Genomic DNA, 27,721 nt, shown 5'->3' on the forward strand with positions numbered 1-27,721 from the left:
ACTTTGTTAAATAGAACCAAACTGAAAAATATGACCAAACATATATTTACTGGGACTTTTTAAGAGTTGCCCTGCCAGTTTTAAAATCAGGAGGGAAATTTCAGAAGTTGCAGTTTTGTTTCTCCTGTGTGTGTTCATTCTTATAACATCTTTCCATGTTTGTTTCTTTCTCTTTTTCGTGATTCTTTTTCCTTATACTTTTGGTTGTTTTGAGAAAAATTCTCATGCAGCATAAAAATTATACTGAATTACTTCATAAACACCTTAATTTATATTTTTATCACCTCTGAAGTTGGGATGCATTTTATTGTTTCTATTTGTATTTTTGAGATGGAGTTTCACTCTCGTTGCCCAGGCTGGAGTGCAATGGCGCGATCTTGGCTCACTGCAACCTCCGCCTCCTGGGTTCAAGCGATTCTCCTGCCTCAGCCTCCTGAGTAGTTGGGATTACAGGTGCCCGCCACCATGTCCAGCTTATTTTTTGTATTTTTAGTAGAGACGGGGTTTCGCCGTGTTGGCCAGGCTGGTCTTGAACTCCTGACCTCAGGCGATCCACCCGCCTCGGTCTCCCAAAGTGCTGGGATTACAAGCATGAGCACTTTATCTACTATAAAATGCTCCCGGCCTGGGATGCATTTTATAGTAGATAAAGTGTGCCATATCTGTTAGATAAAAAAATACGACCATACAATTTATGGGAAGAAAATTCTGTTTTTAATCTGTTAGATAAAAAACATATGTCCATACAAATTATGGGAAGAAAGATCACTGGATTTATGAAGAAAACTGAAACTTTTCCAACTCTGTTACTAGACAAACAGCTTACTTTGAGTTTCAGTTTCTTCATATATAAATTGGTGATGATATTTTTCAGTCGTCCCCTCATGAAGCTGTGTAAGGATAAAATCAGATAGTATATAAATGCTTTAGATGTATAATAGAAATAAAATTAAGTTGTTACAGCTTCAGGTGGAAAAAGTTGAATTTTGCTGAATTTATAGACTTGGCTTCTTCTTTCCAGCTATTCTTCACAGGTAAAACTTGCATAAAGAAAACTCGTATAAAACAATATTTTGTTACTTTTAGTCTGCAATGATCAAGGTTAAGTGCAGAAGCACAGCTAAATATTTTAAAGCATGAAAGTTGGCATTAGGTTAAAAAGTAGTAATATTAAGTAGGAATTACTTTTATTTATCCACTGTAGAATCGAATATTTCTTGTAATACCCTTTTTTTTTTTTACATAATTGGCCAACCTTTCAAACGTGTCTGTGGGTTTCCTCTACCGTTTCTCTTGAATGAATCTACTTCCTGTAAAATTGTATTATAATTGTAACTGTTTGGGGTTATTTGTGAGTCTAATGTAAGTTTGAGATGTGCCCAAGTTATTTTCTGTTTTTTATTCTAATAATGAATATTAATTGAGCATCAATAGCAGTGAACAAAATCCCAATGGCTTGCCTTCATGGAGTTTATATTTATGGGGGTGGACAGATGATAAATAAGTAAGTAAATTATATATCGTATTAGAAGGTAAACAAGTTTTATGGAGAAAAATAAAGCGGAGTAAAAGGAAAGATAGGTGGGGCAGTGGAGCGGATGTGGGAGGATGGGTACACAGCTTCACATATGGTGGTCATGCTTGGCCTGCATGGAAAGAAAACAGTGTACGAAAGGTGTTAGACTGTTCTTGCATTGCTATAAAGAAATACCTGAGACTGGATAAAGAAAAGAGGTTTAATTGGCTCATGGTTCTGCAGGAAGCATAGTGCTGGCATCTACTTCTGGTGAGGGCCCCAGGAAGCTTACAATCATGGCAGAAGGGGAAAGGAAGTCCCTGTGTCACATGGGGAGAGTGAGGGGGAGGTGCCAAACGCTTTTAAACAACCAGATCTCACGTGAACTCAGAGGGAGAACTCACTTATCACTGAGGGGATGGTGCCAAACCATTCATGGGGGATCCACCCCTACGAATCACCTCCCTCCAGGCCCCACCTCCAACATTGGGGATTACATTTCAACATGAGATTTGGAGGAGGCAAATATCCAAACTGTATCAAAAGGCCTAAAGGAGATGAAGAACAGTTATCTAAGAAAAGTGTTTCAGGTAGAGGGAATCGTCTTTGAAAAGACCCTGATGAAAGAGTATTTCTGCTTTTTTTTCTTTTCTTTCTTTCTTTTTTTTTTTTTTTTTGATATAGGGTATTGCTCTGTCACGCAGTGGCGTGATCTCAGCTCACTGCCAGAGAGCTGTCTCCTGGGCTCAAGTGATCCTCCCACATCAGCCTACCTAGTAGCTGGGACTACAGGCATGTACCACCATACCCAGCTAATTTTAAAAAATATTTTGTAGAGACGGGGTCTGTGTTGTCTGGGCTAGCCTTGAATACCTGGCCTCAAGCAGTCCTCCCACCTTGGCCTCCCAAATTGCTTGGATTACAGGTGTGAGCAACTGTGCCTGGCCAGGAGGAGTATTGCTGGTTTATGCAAGGGACAGATGAGTCAAATATGAGTGGGACAGAGCAAGCAAGCAGTACAATGCAGGAAATGAGGTCAGAGAAGTCAGGGGTGGACCCAGGAGAGCACTATAGGGCCATGAGCTTTTATACCAAGTGAAATGGGGAGCCAATGGTGTGTTTAGGTTTGAGGACTGATATAGTCTGATTTTTATGTAAAAGGCTATATGGCTTTTGAGTTAAGAATATATTATAGATGGCACAGGTGGGAGCATTGAGACTAGTTACAAGGCTATTGCTATAATTTGCACATGAGATGATGGAGGCTTGGATTAGTATGGTGGCAACAGAATTAAAAGAAATAGATTCTGAGAGTGTTTTGGAGGTAGGGCGACCTGATTTACTGAAAGGGACAAGTCACAGATTACTATGATTTGTGGCTCAGGCTCAAGGAATTGGCAGGATAGATTTGCCGTTAACTAGGATGGAGAAGATGGCAGGTGGAGCAGACTTTGGGATGAATGAGAGGATTCAGTATTGGACGTGATGCTAAAGAAACCCAAGTGGAAATGTCAGGTAGCACTTACAGTAACCACACTGTTATTCAGGGGAGAGGACTTGCCAACAAGTTAGTGAGGGTAGATGGAGAAGGGCAGTGGTCCATGGATTGAAGTAGTGCATTTCAAACATTAAGAGATTCAGGAGATGAGGAACATTCAGCAAGGGAGCCTGAAAAGGAATGGCCAGTCAGGTAGGAGGAAAATTGCAGAGAGGTTGGTGTCTCAGAAGTCAAGTGCAAACCATTTCAAGGAGATGGGGACCGAGAGTTGGTTCTCGAATTTGTCAGTGAAGAAGTCGTTGAAAAGAGCAGTTACCCTTTTATTTTTCTTATAATCCTCTGAACAATAAAGGCAATGTCGCAGTCATTCTGGCTTTCCTGTGTGCCCGGCACAGCCCTGGCATGTGGTTGGCATTTAGTTAATTGAATGCAGGAATCAGTACAGGGTTCTTCTGCCCATACTTCATTTCTTGTCTCCCAGAAATGCTCCAAAGAAGGAAGTGGTAGAGTGGGGTTGGAACTTTGTTGGCAGCTGTGGATGTCACCTCAAACTGGTTACCCTTGGAAAATGACAAGTGGAGGTCCCTTACTTTCAATCACCTTTATATAATTTCCATATACTTTGTATTTTTTTGCCTAGTAAGTATAAAAGCAGTGGCATCACGGAGAGCCATAATGAAGAAAAATATTCGCAAGAGCACTTCAGGCCTTCTGTGTCATTTGAAGAATGATCATAAAGCAATAAAAGAACTGAGGTTTTAGCTTCAACACTCAATGTCTGGCTATTTAGCAAAATGTAGATTATTTATAGAGTTTTCATATTTCCATCCAGCTGTTTGGCATCGTAGAAACATGTGCTTGATCTTTTCTGAATTGCTCTTCAGTTTTCCACATTAAGCAGAAGTTCAGAAGAGAGTTCAGTGTTCACGTGTAATTCCTCATTATGAATGTTGAGGCATATTGAGGAAGATAGTCTGGGGCTTTGTTTTCTTTTTTTTAGGGGCAGGGTCTCACTCTGTCACTAAGGCTGGAGTGCAGTGTGTGATGATAGCTTACTGCAGCCTTGAACCCCTGGGCCCAAGCGATCCTCTCACCTTCTCTCCTTCTGAGTAGCTAGAACTACAAGCATACTCCACCCTACCCAGCTAATTAATTTTTTTTTTTTTTTTTTTTTTTTGTAGAGACAGGGGTCTTGCTGTGTTGCCCAGGTTGGTCTTGAACTCTTGGCTTCAAGCATTCCTCTTGCATTGGCTTCCCAGAGTACTGAGATTACAGATGAGAGCCACTGAACCTGCCTACCTTTATTTTCTTTACATGTCTGTGGATGCTGTATTACATTTTGTTGGTATAGTCCTTCTGTATCTTACTACTGTTTTAAATTTGCTTGCCTTCCACTACCATCATAACTTCTCTGTTGCGTTAGTGCTAACAAAACATTTTTGAATAATTTACAACATCTAATCTGTCTTTTTGAAATGTTTTAAATTCTTTCATCCTCAAAGCAATTCACTTACCTTGGAAGAATTTTGGTACTAAAAAAAAAGGTAGTTGTTTTCACAATATTAAAATCTGTCTTTTCATCTTGTTCTTGAAATGTGGTGGATATTTGATGAAAGATTGAAGGTTATGTAGACAGAGAATAATATGGAACATCATTAGGCTGACTTTCTTCCCCTCCAAATATTGTATAGATTGGAGAATTAGCGTTTCCTTGTCCTGAAAGGGTAATGAGCAATATCATGTGCTCTTTGATTCAGCAGTGTGTTTTGAGCACCTCTTAATGCTTCACACTCTTAGCCAGGTGCTAGGAATGTAAGATAACATGGGCCTTGATTGTCTGGTGCTTAAAGTGTAGAAGGCCCATCAGAATTCCAAGTATGGCTGGGAGGAGGAATGGTGGCTAATGAATAACCTCGGGCGATAATCCAGGCCCTTCCCATCTTGGGATTTGTCAGCCTGGGAGTATGGACTTTTTCTCGAGATCAGAAACAAAGGACAGCCAGCATAGAAATGACCTGATCTGATTGGCTTTAAAACCAAGACCACAATGTTAGGAATAGAGTTTAGCCGGAAGTAATAGAAACCCAGCTATCACTGCTTAAAATGGTAAGTTTTATTATTTTCACGGAAAAAGAAGTCAAGACCCAGGTAACCCAGGGCATGTGCATAATTCAAGCATATTGTCATGGGCCCAGTCTCCATCTGCTTTCCTGCCCAACTATCCTTGGCATGCCACCAAATTACATATAAAACTCTAGGTACCATGAATTGTTCCAGGCCAGGCAGAAGATGGTCTAAAATGTCTTTCCTTGTAAAGCCTTGTCTTTTGGGGGGAAACAGATCTATTGAAATATTATCGACACAGTAAGGTGAATATACTTAAAGTATAACATTTTATAAGTTTGGGCATATGTGTACACCTGTGAACCCATGACCACATTCAAGACCCCTGAAAATCTCCTCATCCTTCTTTGAAATCCCTCTTTCCCACCCTTAAACCCCCCACCTAGTCTGCAGGCAACCATGGACCTGCTCAGCGGTAAAACTTACATTGGTGTTAAATTTAGTAACGCTAAGGAGGATGTTTGTAGAAAAAAGATGGGACATTCCTCTGGCTCATTGATTACCTTCTTTTGACGGCAGGGTAAGAAGCTTTAGGGACGTCTTTTCAGCTAAAAGGAGTGCTCATGTTTTTAAAAGTTTATTGACAAGGCGAGAATTTAGATTTGGTGTTGGTAGGGAAGGCGATCACCATGGTGAAGGTAAATAGGATCAGTGCAATTTTGCAGGTATTGAAAGTTTATGATCAACACAAGGTGAAGCTTGTGTGAATCAGGATACTTCATGGGTTATAGATGTTCTTGAAGCAATGTGTTGGCTCATATAAGTGGGACATCCAGTAGTTGGGTCATAAGGTTTTGCTGGATCAAGGGGCTCGAAGTCGCTCGCCCCTTTCATCCGCTTTTCAGCTTAGCTTGCCTCTGCTCAGTTTCTTTTACGGGCTAGATCTTTCCCTGTCCATGATGGCTACTGGCAGAATCAATGTTGTCCTTATACCTTGCTAGGTCAGATGAACCTGTTGTTTTCTGCTTTCAATATTCCTTTATCGATCTTGCAGGACACGCTTATTGACCCTGTTGGCTTATGGACCTATCCCTTGGATCAATCACTGTTGATAGAAGGATGGGCAGCCATGATTGGTGGGCCAGAATTTTGTGTGTCTGCTGCTGCTGATGGTCAGAGGGGCCAGTCATTAAGGGTCGTACTGGAAGTATATGTGTTAGGTTGCAAAAACAACATGTGTCTAAGACAGAGGTCATTCTTATTCTGGGCAGCAACTTCCCCAGTTCTTCTGTTCTTAATTCTAGCATATCCTAGCAATTTCTTCATCATCTGCAAGTCTTAGTGTAGTGGTTTAATATTTCAACACCCGCTTATGCTAGATTATAAAGAACATTATGCATATATCTTTCTTTGTTCTTTATTTTTATTTTTATTTGAGATGGAGTCTCGCTCTGTTGCCAGGCTGGAGTACAGTGGCGCAGTCTTGACTCACCGCAACCTCTGCCTGTCGGGTTCAAGCGATTCTCCTGCCTCAGTCTTCTGAGTAGCTGGGATTACAGGCACATGCCACCATGCCCAGCTAATTTTTTTTTTTTTTTTGTATTTTTAGTAGAGATGGGGTTTCACCATGCTGGCCAGGCTGGTCTCAAACTCCTGACCTCGTGATCTGCCCGCCTTGGCCTCCCAAAGTGCTGGGGTTAAAGGTGTGAGCCACCGCGCCTGGCTCTCTTTGTTCTTTAATACCATTATTGTATGTATCAATCTGAAAGACACATAAACACATGGTGCTTAATGTTAAAACAATTCTGTTTGCTAGAGTGATCTCAAATATATTAAGTTTCTAATTCCAAGTAGAATTTCTTGTTCCCCTACTCTAGGCAACACACAGTGTGCTCTTCTGCTTGTATGTGAATGTACGTGTATGTGACAAAATTTCTGAATTAGATAAAAGTAAACAAGCACAAAATGAATAAGCTTAACATTTGGTAGTTAACTAATGGAAAGGTCATATGAGTGGAGTCCTTATTAACACATCACTGTGTGACCAAGTCTCCTAGGAAGTAAATTAAAGAGATGCTATTCACATACCTGTTGATATGCCTATAAAGCAAGAACTACAATTTCTTATGCATTGTAATAGTGTCTTTAATATTACATCTCAGTGTTAAAAATTTCTTAATTATTTTCCTAGGCACTATGATGCAGTTCTATAGGGAGAAAAAAAAGTCACATTACTCCTCACCTATAAAATGAAAGGAACAGATTAGGATCCCTGGCCAGGTAGTTTAGTGCCATGGTGTTCTCTCTCTGTCTCTGTTTTGTTTTTGTTTTTGTTTTTTTTTTGAGACAAGGTCTTGCTATGTTGCTCAGGCTGGTCTCCAAACTCCTGGGCTCAAGTGATCCTGCCTCGGCCTCCCAAAGTGCTAGGATTATAGATGTGAACCACTATGCCCCACCTGTGCTGTAGCGTTCTGTGTTTGTGCTGTGAGCCCTGGCTAAGAATTTCTTTCTTTCTTTTTGAGACAGGGTCTTGCTCTGTTGCCCAGGCTGGAGTGCAGTGGCATGAACACAGCTCCCTGCAACCTTGACCTCCTGGGCTGAAGCTATCCTGAGTCAGTCTCCCAAGTAGCTGGGACCACAGCTGGTTGCCACTGCACCTGGCTAATTTTTTTTATTTTTTTGGTAGAGACAAGGTCTCCCCATGTTGCCCAGGCTGGTTTCGAGCTACCTGGGTTCAAGCAATCCTCCTTCCTCGGCATCCCAAAGTGCTAGGATTACAGGCATGAGCCACTGCGCCTGGCCTGGCTGAGAATTTCTATGTTCCTTGCAGTAGCACCTTCCTGTTTATTCCCCCTTCAGTAGACTCTACTCATGTGTACACTTGCAGTTTTGCCATTGCCACTTTCTCTTGGCGTTTACTCGGGGGAGAAATGCCAGTTTTAGACACTTTTTATGACCAGTTTTATGGTCTTGCTTTGGTGTACCTTTTCCATTACAGCTCCTTTAGTTCTCTTTTTAAAACTCTTTTTATATGATTCACCTTTCTTTGTCTTAAGGAGAAAACAGGAAAGGTTGGTGCTTACTGCTTATAAAAACATTACCAGCAATGAATTAACAGACACATAATTCCTTTTTATCAGCATTGTCTCCCAAAGGGAAGGAAACTGTCATAGGTGTACATTTACTTTCTATTCCAGTTGATTTCATAAGGAAACTGTTATTATAATAGAACAAAAGATTCTTTGGAGTTCCTTTGTCTAGCAAGTTCTAGTGACAAACCTAGGCTTTTTAATTATGCTGTTAGAGTTAACTGTTTGAATCAACAATTTTTAGATCACTGGTTTGGAAGACCTCATATAATCTTGTTCTCTTCACAATTACAAACCAGCCATAACACATAATTATCACTACTGAGAAATAAATTGTTTTACTATTATCTTTAAAAGTCTCCTTTTTAGTAAAGTTAAGGATACACTGATAATCAGATCTCATTAGAGGCATATTATAAGTCTTTAGGTGTTATAATTTTAAAAGTTAACTTGGGTATTTGGGGGATTTTTAAAATAATGTGTTAGAAACACCAGTCATACACAAGAAAACACATTGTTTTTAGCTTTTTAAATGAAAAAATCCAACATATTTTTGGGTGTTCATTAGAAAATTGATTAGCACAAACAAGTTTATGATGTACAGTTTCGCTGTTGCTGTAATAAGTGCAAAATTTGTTTTGGATTGGACAGTTGATTCTATGTTTTCTTTCACCTTTGGGAATGGCCCTTACAAATGAGAATGTGTATTTGCGTGTGCATGTGTGTGCATATGTGCATCTAGGAGTTGGGCATGAAAATGGGATAGGGCAGTGTCTTGGTTCACTTTTGAAACCATCTGAGTGTGATGGACCTAGAGCATTGCCTTTTGTTACAAACGTGTGGAGAATCAGCAACTTACTGCCTGTTGCCTTCAGTTGTATACCACCTTCATTCCCAAGCCTCCTCTTTCCTAAATTGGAACAAATTATAGGAGGGAATGTGGACTGCTCTTGAATATGCATAGATGGGGATTGAGGTGAAATATCTGAGAGACAAGTGAGAATGTCTAGATTTAAGTAGCTGGGTTTGGGAGATAGTGGGAGCTAAGGCTGAATGAGGAAAGTTAGACCAATTTACAGAGGAATGCAAAGCAGAAGAATTTAGAATTGGTGACTTAGTAAGAAGGGGGTGTTACATTTTTCAAGGCTAGTTTTAATTAGGAAATTTCATATGCTCAGGAAATAATATGGTAGACCCCTGTGAACTCACTGGCTTTATACATTTCACATATGCCAGTGTTTTTTTTCTCTCTCTCTTTCGAGATGAGGATTCTCTTTGTTGCCCAGGCTGGAGTGCAGTGGCTATTCCCAAGTGCAGTCACAACGCACTGCAGCCCAGGACTCCTGGGCTCAAGCAGTCTGTCTCGGCCTCCCAAGTCCCAGCTACTGTTGAGACTATAGGCACACCACTGAACCCAGCTAATCTCTCTTTTAAGAAGTTAAATGTTACTCTGTAGCTAAAGGCCAACTCTCCAGTCCCTTTCCCATTTTCCCCTCTCAAAGGTAGTCACTGTTCTGAAATCAAGATCTGTCACTTCCATGAATGTGTATGACAATGTCATATATTATATACATTAATTATCTACAAATAACATATAGTATTGTTTTTTGTGTTTGAAAATTTATATAAATGGTATGTTTTATCTGTATTTATGCAACTTGTCTGATTTCCTTTACATTTTTTTGAAATTTGTCAATTTAATAGAAATAGATAAAAATCATTTGTATTCTATTGTGTGATCACACCAGAGTCTGTGAATTCCCTAGTCGTGATGTTTGAAAATGTTTTTAATTTTTTACTGTAACAAACAAGGTTGTGGTAGAATCCTGGTATATATCTAGTTGGGTACATAGGTGTTCTCTTGGGGATTAACCTAGAAACAGAATTGCTGGGGTAGTAAGGGATACATATAATTTTCCTAGGTGGTGTTAATTTGTTATATAAAGTAGCTACAACAATTTATATTCCTACTTGTACACAAGTTTTAGGTTCTTTACATTCTTGGTGTCATCAGGCTTAGTTTTTGCCAGTCTAGTGCATGTGAGATGGTATTTCCTTGTTTTAATTTTTGTTTCCCTGATTTTTGATGTGATTTAACATTTTTCATGTGTTGATTGGCCTTTCAAATTCTTCTTCAGTGAATTGACTCTTACTACCTTTCACCACTTTTCAGTTTGCTTTTTGTCTTAAGTTCATTTGTATTCATTTTTATTTTTTATTTATTTTTATTTTTACTTTTGAGATGGAGTATCGCTCTTGTTGCCCAAGCTGAAGTGCAGTGGCACCATCTCGGCCCACTGCAACCTCCTCCTCCCAGGTTCAAGCGATTCTCCTGCCTCAGCCTCCCGAGTAGCTGGGATTACAGGCGGGTGCCACCACGCCCAGCTAATTTTTTGTATTTTTAGTAGAAATGGGGTTTTACCATGTTAGCCAGGCTGGTCTTGAACTCCTGACCTAAGGTGATCCGCCTGCCTTGGCCTTCCAAAGTGCTGGGATTACAGGCGTGAGCCACCGCACCTGGCCTGTAGGCATTTTTTAATATGTGTGCTGGAAATATATTCTCCTAGTCCTAGGTGTCTCTCACATTTGTCTCGTATTTTTCACTGTACAGTACAGAAGTTTAAATTTGTAACAGGTTGGATGGTACGGCAGGTAAAAACACAGATCTACAGCCAGGTAGCCTGGGTTCATATCCCAGCTCTATCCCTTCCTTACTGTCTAACCTTGGGCAAGTTACTTAACATCTCACTCTGTGCACAGCTTTTCCCATCTGGAAAATGGAAGCAACAGTACCTACCTCTTAGGGTTTTTGTGAAGATTAAATTAGTTAATAAATGTAAAACCCTTATAATACTTTCTTAAACAGAGTAAATGCCATGTCAGTGTTATATGCGCATTTTTGGAAACTTGTTTCAAAGAAATTTTTCCTTACCCACAAAGTCATTAAAATATTTTCTATACTTTTAAGTTGTGCTTAAAGTAGAGTTTATGGTTTGAGGTAGGGATTAATAATATCAGTTTTCAAAATGAGAAGGTGGTTGTCACAAGGCTACTTATTAAAGTCTACTCTTTCTCTGCTGACTTAGAATTTTGCCTCTCTCAAAGACTATGCTGCTGGCTTATTTAGATCTGTATCAGTTACCTGCTTTAACGACTGAACCATTAAAATGAGGTATTTGTCATATCTCTTATTTTATTTTTTTTGAGACAGAGTCTTGCTCTGTCACCCAGGGTGGAGTGCAGTGGCGTGATCTTGGCTCACTGCAAACTCTGCCTCCTGGGTTCAAGCTATTTCTGGCTGATTTTTGTATTTCTAGTAGAGACAGGGTTTCACTATGTTGGCCAGGCTGGTCTCGAACTCCTGACCTCAAGTGATCATCCCGCCTTGGCTTCCCAAAGTGCTAGGATTACACGCATGAGCCACTGTGCCTGGCCATTATAATAGGTTCTGATATTTGTTAGATGGTTTTTAACTTATTTAGTTTTTAAATTTTTAAAATCTATTTAATTTTACTTTAAAAAAAAGAAATATATCCAAAATATGTAGAGTCAGGCTCAAGTTTTGCAGACATGGGTGAAAACAACAACAAGGGTGGCATTCAGGACAGTTAGATTGAACCACTGACAGGACTGATTTGCCACCAGGAGCATTTCTTCTTCATGGTTCTGGTGACAGTGCAGCTGGGCTAAGAAAAAGTGCAGCAGATACAAGCTTTTCTCCTTAATCTTCTTTATCTCTTTGTTTATTTTAGGTCTTCTTTCATGTTCTTCAAATACATTTCACAATTTTCTTCATGAAGATCTTGGACTACTTTTGTTGGATTTCTTCATATATATCTTATATTTTGGGGGTATATTACAAATTATATCCTAAAAAGTATGTGAAAAAAATTTTTTTTGGTGCATCAGCATGTTGTTGATTTTTGTGTATTGATTCTGTTTCTAGCAACTTTGCTGGTTCTTACCAATTTTAATTTTTTTTTGATTTTTTGGATTTCCTTTGTAGATGCTCCTAATAATTTTTGAATAATGAAAGCTGTGTTTCTCTCCTCCCATTGTTATTTTGTATTTACACTTAGTTGTCTAAAACCCCACCACAATGCTGAATAGATGTGGTGAAAGTCCACACCCTGTCTTATTCCTGAATTTTGGAGAAAATGTTTATGATTTATTTTTATCTTACCATTAGCTAGAATAATCTTTCCTATCTTTTGTCACTGAGTGTGATTTTTGCTTTGGCTTTTTGATCGGTATTTATCAGTTTAAAAATTTGGAAGGATTTATTATTAACCTTTCTCTTAAATAATTTTGCCAAGGGCTGTTACTTTTCTCTCCTTTAATGAAGCTTTATGTATTCTTTCTATTGTAAGTTTCTCTTCTTTCTCCTACCATTGGGTTTGTTTTATGTGACTCTTTTTTAAGTTTGCATTTTTAAAAATATGGGTTTTTAAAATAGTTTTTATTCCCCTTTTATCTTTTTATTTTTCTGTTTAATATTTTTTATTTTATTATTTTATTATTATTATTATTTTTGAAATGGAGTCTCACTCTGTTGCCCAGGCTGGAGTGCAGTGGCACAATCTCGGCTCACTGCAGCCTCTGCCTCTCGGGTTCAAGTGATTCTCCTGCTTCAGCCTCCCAAGTAGCTGGGATTACAGGTGCCCACCATCACACCCGGCTATTTTTTAAAAAATATTTTGGTAGAGACAGAGTTTCACCATGTTGGCCAGACTGCTCTTGAACAACTGACCTCAAGTGATCCACCCGCTTCGGCCTCCCAAAGTGTTGGGATTACAGGCGTGAGCCACCGCGCCCAGCCCCCTTTTATCTTTTTAGTCAGTTTAAAATATTTTGTTTTAGTCTCCTTCAGTTAGTTCTGTCATCTCAAGTTCTTGGGAGCTTTTATCCTTCTTTTGTTATATTTGTCATATCTCTCTCATGGTAAATTTTTTTCTTAGTCATTTTGTGATTTTTTGATTGGCAGCAATGTTTTTATTTTTTTCTTTGGGAATCCTGTAAGGGCTGGGATTTGGAAGGGTCCCTCCTGAGCAAATTTTGGATATGCGTTTATGAGCTTTTCTCCCCCAAATGCCGTCACCTCTTGTAATCAGCTTTTATTTGAATTGTTTGTCTTGAGGATTCCTGCATGCCTGAGGCAGTGTACTCTTAGACTGCAAGCATGGGCATGATAGGCTCTTGTTTGATAGGCTCGTGTTTCTCTTTCTTGAAAACTTTTTGAAGAGACTGAAAAGTCTTTGCTCTCTTTCTGGATAGGTTGTTGTGGTTTTTCTCTAACCCCTGACACTGAAAATACAGCTTTTTGGAGATCCCAGTTATGCAAGGGTCTCAGTTCCACTTCCTAGCTCTGCTATGAAACCTAAATCCTTTCCCGTTAGGGACTGTTCTGATCCAGGAACTCCTTCCCCACCTGCTCATGGGACCCCACAGCACCAGCTGTATGCTTACAGTTCTAGCTTTCGATTCTCCTTTCATTTCTGACCTGTAGGAATTTCCCATAGTTTTTCTGTGCTCACTTACGTATTTAAATAAAATGTTACAGTCTTTTCAGTGTTTTAAAATATTTGTAGCTGAAAGGATTCTGTGGTAGCTCAGTTGCCCATGTTCCAAGAACCCTCTGTGGTGGGCTAAATAACCACACACTCCAAAAAGTCGTTCATATCCTAATCCTTGAAACCTACAAACACGTTACTTTACATAACTAAAAGGACTTTGAAGATGTGATTAAATGAAGAATCTTGAGATGGGGAGATTATTCTGGATTATCTGGGTGAGCTTTATGGAATCACACAGGTCCTTGGAAGAGGGAGGAAAGAGGGTCAGAGTCAAAAAATGATGTGCATATTTGAGGGGTTTGAACATGATATGCTCCTGGCTTTGAAGACAGAGGAAGGGGTTATATGCCAAGGAATGCAGAAAACCCTCAGAAACTAGACGAAGCAAGGAAACAGATTCTCCCTCTGGAGCTTTCAGGAGTACAACCTGACCAACACAGCCTCCAGAACTGTAAGGCAATACATTTGTGTTATTTTAAGCCACTACACTTGTGTTAATTTGCAAAAGCAGCGATAGGAAACCCTCTTTGATGGTTTTAGAGGACTGCCTGGTAGTGGTAATTAGGGTAGACTGAAAACTATATTGAAGACACAGCAGAATCAACTTGGTGAGGAATGCCCTTGACAGAGGGTTATGTAGAAGGAAGCAGCCTCTTTTTTGCCTCTATCTGCAGGAAAAGAAAAAAACCAGAACAGAGGTACTTGTGAATATTCTAGATAACATTCTCAATAATAGCATAAAGCCTAATCTGAGAACTAAATAGTGTTTTCTCCCCTCTTTTTGGTTGTAGAGATCTTTTCTTTACATTTACATTAATAGATTCTCATTATTAATGAGCCTATTAGTTGGCAACTGAGTGAGCATTGAAGAGTTTCCTCATTTTGCCGAAACGATGATGCAGATAATGTATTTGCTTTGCGGCGAGGATGCCCATGAGGGTACCAGAACACTTCACCCCAGCTACATGATAAGGATTCCACTGATGGTAAAATTCCAGGCAGGTTCTATAACAGTGAGAGGTTCCTGATTTGTCAAACTCCAAATAGGTGAATTGTTCTGTATTTCTTTTCTAGGACTGCTGTAGCAAATTACCACGAACATGGTGACTCAAAATAACAGAAATTTATCCCCTCACAGTCCTGGAGACCAGAAGTCCAAAATCAAGGTGTCCACAGAGTCAGGCTCTCTCAGGGACCTGGGGGAGAATCTGTTCTTGCGTCTTCCATTTTCTGGTGGCTGCTGGCATTCCTTGTGGCTGCATTAGTCTCTGCCTCTTTTTTTTATGTCACTTTCTACATTGTGTGTGTCTCTCTCTAATTTCCCTGTGCCTCTCTCTTAAGGATACCTGTTATGACATTTAGGGCCCACCTCATAATCTAGGATAAGCACCTCCTTTAAAGATCCTTAATTTAGTTCCATCTTTTACCACATAAGATAATGTTTATCCTTGGCCGGGCGCGGTGGCTCATGCCTGTAATCCCAGCAATTTGGGAGGCCGAGGCAGGTGGATCACCTGAGGTCAGGAGTTCGAGACCAGCCTGGCCAACATGGTGAAACCCCGTCTCTACTAAAAATACAAAAATTAGCTGGACGTGGTGGCATATGCCTGTAATCCCAGCTACTGGGAAGGCTGAGGTGGGAGAATCACTTGAACGCGGGAGGTGGAGGTCGCAGTGAGCCGAAATTGCGCCACTGCACTCCAGCCCGGGTGAGAGAGCAAAACTCTGTCTCCAAAAAATAAAATAAAATAAAAAATAAATAAATAATAAATACTTATTCTTTTACTACTGAAGATTATATTCACAGAGGGGTCAGCTGGGCTATTCTGTTTATCTGAATTTTTTTGTGTGTCAGGGGGAGATTATTGTTCTATACTCTTACTCGCCTTATAAAAAATCTTGGGGGGGGGCGGTTAGCAATTATTTGATTATTTGTCCTATTGTAATTTTTCATTCTCTTCTATACCGACTTCTAGAGCAGGGGTCCGAAAACTACAGCCCACAGCCAGATCCATCTCATTGACTATTTTTGTACAGCCTGCTAACTTAGAATGGTTTCACATTTTTGAATGTTAAAAAAAAAAAAAAAGGAGGAATGATATTTTGTGATGCATTAAAATTATATGAATTCAAATTTTGGTATGTATAAATAGTTATTGGAACACAGCCCTGCCTGCTCATTTGTTTACATATTGTCTGTCACTGCTTTTGTGTACAGGGGCAGAGTTGGGTAGTTGTGGCAGAGACCATGTGATCTGCAAAGCCTGATAATAAATATCTGGCCGTTTGCAGAGAAAGTTTGCCAAGCCCTGTTCTAATAGGGATGTCTTGTCTCTGGCTTTTAGCACATAGCATCAAGTACTTGTCGGTGAATAATTAACTTTTAATTTACTATTTAAGCAGGTGTAACTTTTAATATTCTCATATTTAAGGATTTCAGTAATATAGTAAGGATGTAGTATAATTCCCAAAAGGATTTAAAGAATCTTTTAAAGATCTTAAAGAACTATGGGGTTAGAAGAATTTTATTAGTAATACTCTTATTCATGCTTCTTATCTTTTTTGGCTCTAAGACTTAAAAGATACAATGTAATTCTTCTGGTGAATTTAACTGAATTAGGATATATGCATCACACCCAGGACTTGGGTGTTGGCAAATGTGATGGTTGATTTTATATGTGAACTTGGCTAGGCTGTGGTGCCCAGTTGTTTGGTCAAGCACTAGTCTAGATGTTGCCGCAAAAATATTTGTAGATGTGACTAACATTTACAATCAGTTGACTTTAAATCCTATTACCTTCCATCATGTGAGTGGGCCTTATCCCATCAGTTGAAGACCTTAAGAACAAAGATTAAGGTTTTCTGAGGAAGAAGGAATTCTGCTTGAGTTTCCAGCCTGCTGGCCAGCTCTACAAATTTCTGACTTGCCAGTCACGACAATCATGTGAGCCAATTCTTTAAAATCTCTCTGTCTCTGTTTCACTGTTGGATTTTCACTCAATAGATAGATAGATGTAGATATAGATGTATTTCCTATTGGTTCTGTTTCTCTGGAAACAGAAGTACAGCAAGCTGCTCTGATGTCTTGCACATGTGGCCCATCTTCAGCGTTTGGTACCATGATGCAGCAAGGATGCTAAGCATAGCCCTCCTGCCACGCATCATCCAGCACTCCTTCTTCCTTCGCACCTCCTTCAGGCTTCTGTCTTTTACAGCTCCTGAAGGGAAATGTGTTAAATTTGAATACCACAGAGTCAGAAATAAGCTCACTTGTGAAGGGGCAGAGGACTTTTTCTCAGTCCAAGACTGTTTGAAGTTGTGAGAAGACTGTCAGTGAGTATGATAAAATGAAACAGAGGCAAATGGGCCTACTGATAAGGAGCAGTTGGGAAAATGAGAAGGACTAGACGAATTTCTGAGTGGCAAAATTTGTGAAAATTTTTGCCTCTCCTTGTCCCTCTGAAAAGAAAAGCTTGCTGGGTGTACCAGCTGCAGTGGAGCCCACCAAGTTCATATAACTCTCTAATTTGATTATATTATGCTATAGATGGTTCCTTTTATTCTCAAGTTTTGTCTCTTTGGCAAAAAAATACAAAAAAATATTTTCTATGAGTACAAATAGACACTCATGTAGCAGTTTTGCTTGTATCTCTACATATGTAAGGTTTACTGTACCAGTAGATGTAAAATTTGCCTGACAAACTATTGTATTACATACGAAAATTTACACATTTGAGCAGAAAAAGATGCATTTGAGTAAGTGGTAATTTATTTTTATATTTCTAAGCAAAGTTTATCAGGCTTTTAAATGGTGCTAGAAAATATATTTTTTTATGTTTTGATTTTTCCTAATTGGGTATTATGCTGTCAGATTGCTCCAGGCAATGGTTGACTCATGATTGAAGATACTGTTTCCTTCCTGTTCAACAACCTGTCCCCCACTCCTCCCCTAATACCTATGTAAGCTTCATCTTCTATAAGTGAATTACCATCTTTATGTGGCATACTATTTTTAAGTGGGATTTTAAAGAAGTAATATCATTTTGACTTTTACAGGTCATAACCACTAGGCATGTGTTCTTCAACCAGTGTTGTTTTATAAATATATGAATAAAACAATTGGCATATCAAAGAATTTCTTTTTGCTCAGAATACTAGTTCACTTTAAATAGCTAAAGTCTCTTACATTCTTTTTATTCTGCTAAAAGTTTTAATGATCTCTCTATATATGATTTTTAATAAAATAGATGATGACATTTAAAGCAGTTAATTTCAGCAGCAATTCTATGAGCAGTTTTTGAGTATTCCCCAGGGACCCGGTCTTGTGATAGATTCTGGGGCTGTATAGCCAGGTGAAAAGATGTGGGTCCTTACTCTCAAGTTGCTGCCAGTCTTCTGGAGAGACAAGCTTGGAAACACAATGTGTGATGAAGGGAACAAGAGAACCGTGTTCCAGTAACAGAGATCGGCCCGACAACGGAGGGATTTCTTTAGTCAGCTGGGGACTAGGAGGGCTTCCCAGAGAAAATTACAGTGCATTTGGGCTTTGAAGGAAAGATAGGTGATGTCCATTTGAAGAGATCAATATGTTGGACCGAGCTTGGCATCTGGAAGTTTTTGTGTATGTGATTTCTTCAAAATCTTCAGTAGCATGCATTTAGGCTCTTAGTAAACAGATGACTTCTGAGGCTCTGTGAGAATTTTGCGTATTATCAGTCTTTTTTTTTCTTTTGCAAGAATAAAGCACGCCTGGGGATTAATGTAATTTGTTAAAACAATACTGCCTATTGAGATCTTGTGTGTATTCTTGTATTAAGTTTTAGTGCTTATTTGTAAGAGACTACGTAGGTGCCTGAAGGATATTGTTGATATTTAATTAACTGGCATTTTCCCCATTCTCTCTCCTCTCTCTCGTCCTCTACCCCTGCCCCCTGGGTGTTTTTGCAGTTGGTTAGTCTGCTGCTAATTGGAATTGCTGCGTGGGGCATTGGCTTCGGGCTGATTTCCAGTCTCCGAGTGGTCGGCGTGGTCATTGCAGTGGGCATCTTCTTGTTCCTGATTGCTTTAGTGGGTCTGATTGGAGCTGTAAAACATCATCAGGTGTTGCTATTTTTTGTATCCTTTTTAAAAATCAAGATTTTACTCTTGATGACTATTTTGATGGTTACAACTAATTTAATATTATCACTAGGAAATTTATTGCCAGAAAGCAACTCCAAGCAAGCCTTATGCATATTTGTTCAAGAACTATTAGAAACATTTCTTAGGGTAATGTTATTGTACGTTTTCATATTCTCACCCTGTCCTTGTGACACCCTGAAGAATATATTCTGCAAGTTCAGTGTAGTCCTATTTATGTATTGTAAATTCAGAGTTAAATTGAATTGATTTGGTGACTTCTAGGCCCTTTTTTACACATTAATGTTTGGTTGAGAATTTCAGTGTTTTTTTTAGACTTAATATTAAAAAAGCTTACATGTATTTATCTATACCTATGTCTGTTTTGTAAATGTAAGAATTTTTATTTTATTCTGAATGAAATTCTAATCTAGTTTTAGTTATGTAATTATGACTAATATTTTTCTTTATAAATTTGATGCAACTATGTATTACCAAAATAATAATATGTGTATCCTTTTTGAACTTTCTCTAAGTGCCATCTGTTCTGTATTCTGGGTTAATTACTTCTTGTGCATTCTAAAGTTGTCAGTACCTCTGTACCTCTGTTTTATGCCATTCTAAGAATATTTAGAAGTATCCTTAACTTCTAACTCTCAGTATATGATTATTCTGTTACTTGTATTTATTGTTCAGTTTTCTGTATCTTGCGCTTGTTTAGCCCTGAACCAGGAGCAACAGGTAAGCTAAGACTTTTTTCTTCTACTTTATTATACCACATAGCATGAGTATGAAAAAAAGGAGGGTAATGATTAGAATATAAAATAATTTCGTCTTGCACAGAATGCCACCTTCACTCTGGATAGCAAAACTCTCTTGTTCCCTTTGCATTAGTGCAGCAGGTTGGAGCCGGACACCATCAGGTGTTGCCATTTTCGGTATCTTTTAAATCGGATTTTGCTTTCACTGGGTTAAAAAGTGCTATGGCTAAAAGATGTTCCCCCAATCTTTTCCCACTATTATGCAATGAAACATTTGCTCCAGAATGCTTGTGGTTCCAGTCTAGCAATGACTGTTTTCAAGCTCTAATTCGTAGACAAATCCAGGTTTCTGTCATGGAGCAACAGAACTTTTGCCTTGTTAACACTCCGAGAATTATGCCTTTGAACCAAGTGCTTCTTTTAAATTGCATGTAAATTCTTTTAAATGCATGTAAAAAATTAGGAGTTTTTCAATCTTGGGATAGAAATAGTGCCTTAATTTTTGCTGCAAACTGAGGAATAAGCCTTTGAAAAGTTTTAAGGATTTTTAAAATAAAAATTATTTTAGGTACACTTAGTACTAAAAGTTACAGGCTCCAGCTTTATACATTTTCTGCAGGGATGACACATTTTATATATTAAACACATTTACTAGGGTCAGCTTCTGGAGGTTGGTTGGAACAATACGGCAAGTGCTCGAAATGACATCCAGAGAAATCTAAACTGCTGTGGGTTCCGAAGTGTTAACCCAAATGACACCTGTCTGGCTGTAAGTACATTGTATAATATATGTTTTTGGAAATGTATTACAGATAAATAATGATTAATGTGGAAGAAATGGACTTTCTGATGCTGAATTGTATTTTCAGGATTATTTTATGTATATATTTACATTATATTTCCATGTCCTCTGTTATATCATTTGCCTGTTCTCAAATACCCACTCCAGAGAGTGTTGAGAATTTCAAGGCCCTATTGGACACAGATGCTAATGGTTTATTGTCCCTAATTTCTTCCCATCCTTCTCTTCCTAGAACAAGTTGTGAAAGAAATAATAGTACGTCAGTTCATGTGTTCATATTTTGGGGAAACTCCTGTTATCACATCTCTGAGCCCTAAGCTGAATATTTCCTCAGTGAGGCTTCTTTTGTGAGATTATCTCCTTGTAGGGGGTCTGTGTTATGTTTCTGTTGCTGCGTAACACATTATTACACAGCAATAGAAACACACTGGCTTTAAATATCCATTTAGTGGCTTTAAATACCCATTTATTATCTCACAGTTTCCCTGGGTCAGGCTTGGCTGGGTCCTTTGCTCACCTGGCTGAAATCAAGGTGTCATCTGAGGCTGCAGCCTCATCTGAAGCTTGGGGTCCTCTCCCCACGCTCAGTGGTTGTTGGAAGAATTCAGTCTTTGTGGCTGTGGGACCACCCCTGTTTTTTTGCTGCCTGTTGGCTGGAGGTCTCTCTCTGCAACTAGAAGCTGCTCTCAGGTCCTATGTTACTCTTTCACAATGTGGCAGCATCAAAGTCACTGTGAGAATCTCTCCATTCTGTTAAGATGGAGTCTTTTGTAATGCGTAATGGAGTCTTATCTGATGTAAGGTAACATGGAAGTGACTGTCCTATCATATTCACAAGTTCCACGCATACTCAAGAGCAGTGATTGTATAGGGTGTGTACACCATTGAGAGGGGAGGGTGGGAGTCTTGGGGGCTGTGTTAGAGATTTGCACACTAAAAAACCAAGGCCTCAAATTGGATATAATACTCTTAGACACTAATTTTGTGTGTATGCAGTTTTTATGGGCTTTTTATAAATGTATTTTGAAATAAAGGTTTTTTTACTTTAATTGGTGCAGAGCTGTGTTAAAAGTGACCACTCGTGCTCGCCATGTGCTCCAATCATAGGAGAATATGCTGGAGAGGTTTTGAGATTTGTTGGTGGCATTGGCCTGTTCTTCAGTTTTACAGAGGTATGTGCAAATAACAATATTTTTCCTCCTTTGTCACAGAGATTCCTGTTTTGCATGACAAAGGGCCTTGATTCTTGTTATCAGTGAGCATTTTCATTGAGAACTAGCACTGTAAAAAGAGGAAACTTGGTTTAGAATCAGAAGATCTTACAAGTCTATTAATAGCACCAACTTTAGGACCGGGTGAAAGGCTTGATCTGTCTCTTCTTATGTAAAATTTAATGAACTAATGAGTGAGATTAGATTGAATTATCTCTAGGGTCTCTTCTATTTCTACAGTTGTGTGATGAATTATAATTTTAAATTTAATTTGGAAAAGGTAGGACATTCACATTGTTTAATATGTATGTTAATGTCTATAATACACAGACATACATATATAAAAAGATTATATATCTTTTTATATATATCTTGAAAAATTGCCTTCCTACACCATTTTTCATTCCCCTGTTCCTAGCCTTCTAAAACCTATGCATAATGTCTATATGTGTATAATGTATTGTGTATAATATGCAATTAATATATAGTACAATATTTATGTATGTGTATTTATCATATATTTTATTCAAGTTCAGTTTCTTTTTTTCTCATCAAGAATGAAATATGTACATTTGGCTGTCATTAACAGCATAGGAAAAAAAAAGACCAAGATTAATATTCTTTTTTTTTTTTTGAGATGGAGTCTTGCTCTGTCACCCAGGCTGGAGTGCAGTGGCACAATCTTGGCTCACTGCAAGCTCCGCCTCCCGGGTTCACGCTATTCTCCTGTCTCAGCCTCCTGAGTAGCTGGGACTACAGGCGCCCGCCACCACGCCCAGCTAATTTTTTGTATTTTTAGTAGAGACGGGGTTTCACCATGTTAGCCAGGACGGTCTGGATCTCCTGACCTCGTGATCTGCCCACCTCGGCCTCCCAAAGTGCTGGGATTACAGGCATGAGCCACCGTGCCTGGCCTAGTATTCATTTTTTATTTTTATTTATTTATTTTATTTATTTATTTTGAGACAGAGTCTTGCTCTGTTGCTTAGGCTGGAGTGTAGTGGTGCAATCTCGGCTTACTGCAAGCTCCACCTCTTGGGTTCAAGCGATTCTCCCACCTCAGCCTCCCGAGTAGCTGGGGTTACAGGCATGCACCACTACACCCAGCTAATTTTTGTATTTTTAGTAGAGACAGGGTTTCACCATGTTGGCCAGGCTGGTCTGGAACCCCTGGCCTCAAGTGATCTGCCAACCTCAACCTCACAAAGTGCTGGGGTTACAGGTGTGAGTCATTGCACCTGGCCCAATATTCATTTTTTTAAAGTTCCTTCTGACTTCCCTCTTTAGTCTGACCATTTTTTCATTTCACTGTTTCTCAGAAAAGAGCTATCTGACTTGTGAGTTGGTTGTGACATTAATTCTAGAAAAATGATATACAGCTTGACAAGAATTCTGTGCATTTCTCTCTTCTTTTGTTTAAAAACCATAGATTTTTGTTATGAAAACTTAAAAATACAGATAGAGAAAAACTGGAGTAATTTCTCTCTACACATCAGCTAGAGTCAGCAGTTATCAGAATTTTGCCACGTGGCTTCTTTTTTATATCTGGAATTTATTTTGAGAATTTAGTTCTTTTGAGCAGCCCAGTTTTCTTGTCATCAGATCACACTGCCTTCAGTTATGCTATTTTTTAAGTAGGAGTTCTTTAAAAATAGAACTCATGAGTCTTAGATTTCTAAAGTGTTCTTTCATGGAATCCTGCTTTATATCTTACATACTGTCTCCTTTGGAAATCTGGCTAGAGATTTTTATAACTTATGCAACCTGGTTTTTTAGATAGTGATAGTGGTAGGCTCTCACTTTTTAAGTTTATATTTTGCTCAATATTCACAGAATCACAGATTCTCAGAATTTGAAGGGATGCAGTTACTTAGCTGACAACTTCTTCTCATAGGTGAAATAGAAAGATTTGATTTGAACTATTTATTATACCTTTAAACAAACCTAAACCATGAGAGAAACATTGATTTAGAATCTGAAAAAAGCTATGATTAATATATGTTCTTTGTAGTAACTTGAGAAACTACAAAAAATTATGAAGATGAAAAATTAGACGTAGCTACTAAAATTACCTACTCAGAAACAATCATTTATATTGTGGCATATTTCCTTCTGCCCGTTCTATATTTAGTAAAATGAGTACCAGCTTATTGCATATTCTACATGTACTTTATTTTTCTACATACATTTTCATGTTATGAGCAATATATTTTGGTGACCTACTGCACACTGAGTGTAGGTTCTAGAGACCGCAGAGTTGATGACATCTAATCAAAGTTACCTTTGAAAAGTGCCCTCTTAATCATGAGCACTTTTGTAAGCTTGAAGTTCAATAATTATCCAGTTTTGATCTTTTTGCATTTTGGATGTAGCCTTCCTTTCTATCCCTCTCTGAACAGTCGGGCAAGGAAGGGGAGAGATTTTCCCCTTTTGGCGCTTATAGCCAAGTTGGAGGAATACAATTCTGGTAAAATGTGGCTCCGGATTATGAGTATTTAGTTTGTTTGATTGCTTTCTTCCCCCAAGGACTGTGATTTACCCTCTCAGCATATATCCAGGGGTGATAGTCAAAATGTTAACATCCTCAAAAATTCTGACCAGAAGCTCCCTGTGCTGAAAATTTCCAAGGTGGGGAGCTTTGGCAAGTGATATTTGGGCAGGTTGAGGTGGGGCGGGGGGACTCAAAGAAATAGTTGTTTAACTACAGATATGTAAGTATTTCCGTGTTGTAACAGCTAGTGTGGCTGAGAACAGCCAGTGACATGTCAGATTACCGAATAAAACCACAAAAGTGGGGTAGTTTATGGGCTCCAGGTTTGAACATGGGCTCTACCACTGAGGACCTGTGTGATTATTTTGTTTAACCTCTTGTTGCCTCAGTTTCCTCACTGGTAAAATGACGATATTGATAGTATCTATTTTGTGAAAGCTATTGGGGGGATTATATGAATTTGTAGTTTGTAGAATGGTACCTTTCATAAAGAACTCTTTGTTATGTTTGTTAAATACATTTCTTTTTCCCCATTAGATGGATTCCAAAACAGATGACTTTCCACATCTTCAAATCAGGCTTACCTTTCCTTGATTCAACCTGCAGACCTCAGTCCACCAGCTATAAACACTGCCAGTTATGAATCTTACAGTAATTTGTGGATTCTTATTGTGGTCAGTGGAGAGAATCTGGGACTTACCTAACTCTCTAGAAGTAGTTTAAAAGGGCTAATGGTGGCTACAAAGTCACATAAACAAAATTTAGGTTAAAAGTTGGCACACGTATAAAGTGGGAGATACAGTTTAAAACTCATTTTATTCTATTAAAATTTTGTATCTTTTTTAGCCTAAAGAGTTACAATTTTCATTTATTTAAAATAAACCAACTTTGAAACAGAAACAGAGCACACATTTCTTAATTTAAAAAACTATACTGGCTAACAATTTAGCGAACTTGGTGCGGGAAATGGCACAGTAACAGCTTCATCTCTTCCTACCAAGAGAGGTAGGAATTATAACATTTTAAATTTCTGTGTTGGAAAATTTATTCATTTTAAGATTTTTTGCTGTTACTTAAATTTTACTGAACTTAGTTTATTCCTGAATTATCAAAATATATGCTATTTTAGCTATTTAGACTACTTTGACTTTGTATTAGTTTTCCATATTTCTGCTGTAACAGGTTACCACACACATAGTTGCTTAACACAACACAAACTTATTGTCTTACAGTTTTGGAGATCAAAAGTTTAAAATAAAGGTACCTTCTGGAGGCCAGGCTCACCAGCCCTCCTTTTACATCTTCAAAGCTAGGAGAGTTGCAGCTTCTCTTTCTATTTCCCTTTACTTCTGCCATCACGGTGTCTTCTCTCCATGTTTCTGACTCTGTCCTTCCTGCCTCCGTCATATGTGTCCCCCTGTGATTATATCATTGAGCCCACCTGGGTAATAATCTCTTTATCTTGAGACCCTTAACCACACCCGCAAAGTCCCTGTTACTGTGTAAGGTAACATATTTGCAGGTCGTAGGGGTTAGGACATGGACATCCTTCAGGGCCAGTCATTCAGTTTACCACAGTGTTCGTTTTAATTTTTTCTCAGCGCCCGTCATTTGGTTTACTTCATTTCAAAAAGAAAAAAAATCTCTCCCCGTTGAACAAAAGATGCAAAGCGATTGAGAGGGTCCAAAGTTATTTTATTGATCAACTGAATAAATATACATAAATGTTACTTTCTTTTTCTTTACTTTATTTTTTTTTCCCCATTCCAGATCCTGGGTGTTTGGCTGACCTACAGATACAGGAACCAGAAAGACCCCCGCGCGAATCCTAGTGCATTCCTTTGATGAGAAAACAAGGAAGATTTCCTTTCGTATTATGATCTTGTTCACTTTCTGTAATTTTCTGTTAAGCTCCATTTGCCAGTTTAAGGAAGGAAACACTATCTGGAAAAGTACCTTATTGATAGTGGAATTATATATTTTTACTCTATGTTTCTCTACATGTTTTTTTCTTTCCGTTGCTGAAAAATATTTGAAACTTGTGGTCTCTGAAGCTCGGTGGCACCTGGAATTTACTGTATTCATTGTCGGGCACTGTCCACTGTGGCCTTTCTTAGCATTTTTACCTGCAGAAAAACTTTGTATGGTACCACTGTGTTGGTTATATGGTGAATCTGAACGTACATCTCACTGGTATAATTATATGTAGCACTGTGCTGTGTAGATAGTTCCTACTGGAAAAAGAGTGGAAATTTATTAAAATCAGAAAGTATGAGATCCTGTTATGTTAAGGGAAATCCAAATTCCCAATTTTTTTTGGTCTTTTTAGGAAAGATTGTTGTGGTAAAAAGTGTTAGTATAAAAATGATAATTTACTTGTAGTCTTTTATGATTACACCAATGTATTCTAGAAATAGTTATGTCTTAGGAAATTGTGGTTTAATTTTTGACTTTTACAGGTAAGTGCAAAGGAGAAGTGGTTTCATGAAATGTTCTAATGTATAATAACATTTACCTTCAGCCTCCATCAGAATGGAACGAGTTTTGAGTAATCAGGAAGTATATCTATATGATCTTGATATTGTTTTATAATAATTTGAAGTCTAAAAGACTGCATTTTTAAACAAGTTAGTATTAATGCGTTGGCCCACGTAGCAAAAAGATATTTGATTATCTTAAAAATTGTTAAATACCGTTTTCATGAAATTTCTCAGTATTGTAACAGCAACTTGTCAAACCTAAGCATATTTGAATATGATCTCCCATAATTTGAAATTGAAATCGTATTGTGTGGCTCTGTATATTCTGTTAAAAAATTAAAGGACAGAAACCTTTCTTTGTGTATGCATGTTTGAATTAAAAGAAAGTAATGGAAGAATTGATCGATGAATTAAGTGAGGTGGAATTCTTTTCTTTCTGCTTTAGCTTCTCTCTGTTGGACTTAGAGCTGGGTATTGCTATTTTAGTGTATAATCAAGCTGTGGAAATAAATTTCCAGCATTAATGTCTATTGGTAGTCATCCTCAAATCCTTTCTTGAAATGTTTCAGTGGCTAATATTATCTCCATGGTGAGAAAAAGTTTTTCTAAAAAGAGAAGCCATTAATATTTATTTGGGAAAAATATATACGTTCTTTCCCATTACGAAAAATTATTAATTTCTTGTTTTACATTCTAGGTAGCATGTGGTATTTTATTGTCTTACTAGGTTTTTAGACCGAGAGAGGGTAAATGGTTGATCTGTAGAGTTTTAGAGCATTTTGTAGGTTTGTCACTTCCGTGACTTTGCAACACTAGCTAATTTTCCAAGGAAACAGAATTGTGCCATTTTCACAATGTCCTATGAGCTCTGGGGTAGCCCTAACAGTGTCCCCACTTATACCATAAGATGGGATTATAAGTGACATATGAAGGGAGATTTTATTATTATTTTTTATTATTATACTTTAAGTTCTGTGATACAAATGCAGAATGTGCAGGTTGTTGTTACACAGGTACACATGTGCCATGGGGGTTTGCTGCACCTATTAACCTGCCATCGAGGTGGGAAGTTTTAAAATTCTGTCTTCCTTTAAGGCATTTGGCATTTTCCATGTTTG

The 27,721-nt window shown here is 38.3% G+C and overlaps 1 protein-coding gene and 1 long non-coding RNA gene across 2 annotated transcripts in view; both read left to right on the forward strand.

The window, feature by feature from the left end:
- Positions 1-27,013, forward strand: part of TSPAN13 (tetraspanin 13) — a 30,782-nt gene extending 3,769 nt beyond the window's left edge. Inside the window, exons 2-6 of the mRNA NM_014399.4 lie at positions 18,688-18,855; positions 19,519-19,599; positions 20,275-20,388; positions 21,480-21,593; positions 25,894-27,013. Of these exons, the coding sequence (NP_055214.1) occupies positions 18,688-18,855; positions 19,519-19,599; positions 20,275-20,388; positions 21,480-21,593; positions 25,894-25,968 (552 nt within the window). The 3' untranslated portion in view covers positions 25,969-27,013. The remainder of the gene's footprint in view (positions 1-18,687; positions 18,856-19,518; positions 19,600-20,274; positions 20,389-21,479; positions 21,594-25,893) is intronic.
- LOC124901593 (uncharacterized) lies at positions 22,825-25,023 on the forward strand. Its single transcript, XR_007060228.1, has 2 exons — positions 22,825-24,260; positions 24,661-25,023. It is a non-coding gene; the product is annotated as an uncharacterized LOC124901593 (long non-coding RNA).
- Positions 27,014-27,721: the final 708 nt, after the last annotated feature.

The sequence above is a fragment of the Homo sapiens genome, chromosome 7 (assembly GCF_000001405.40).
Source record: "Homo sapiens chromosome 7, GRCh38.p14 Primary Assembly".
Lineage (NCBI taxonomy): Eukaryota > Metazoa > Chordata > Mammalia > Primates > Hominidae > Homo > Homo sapiens.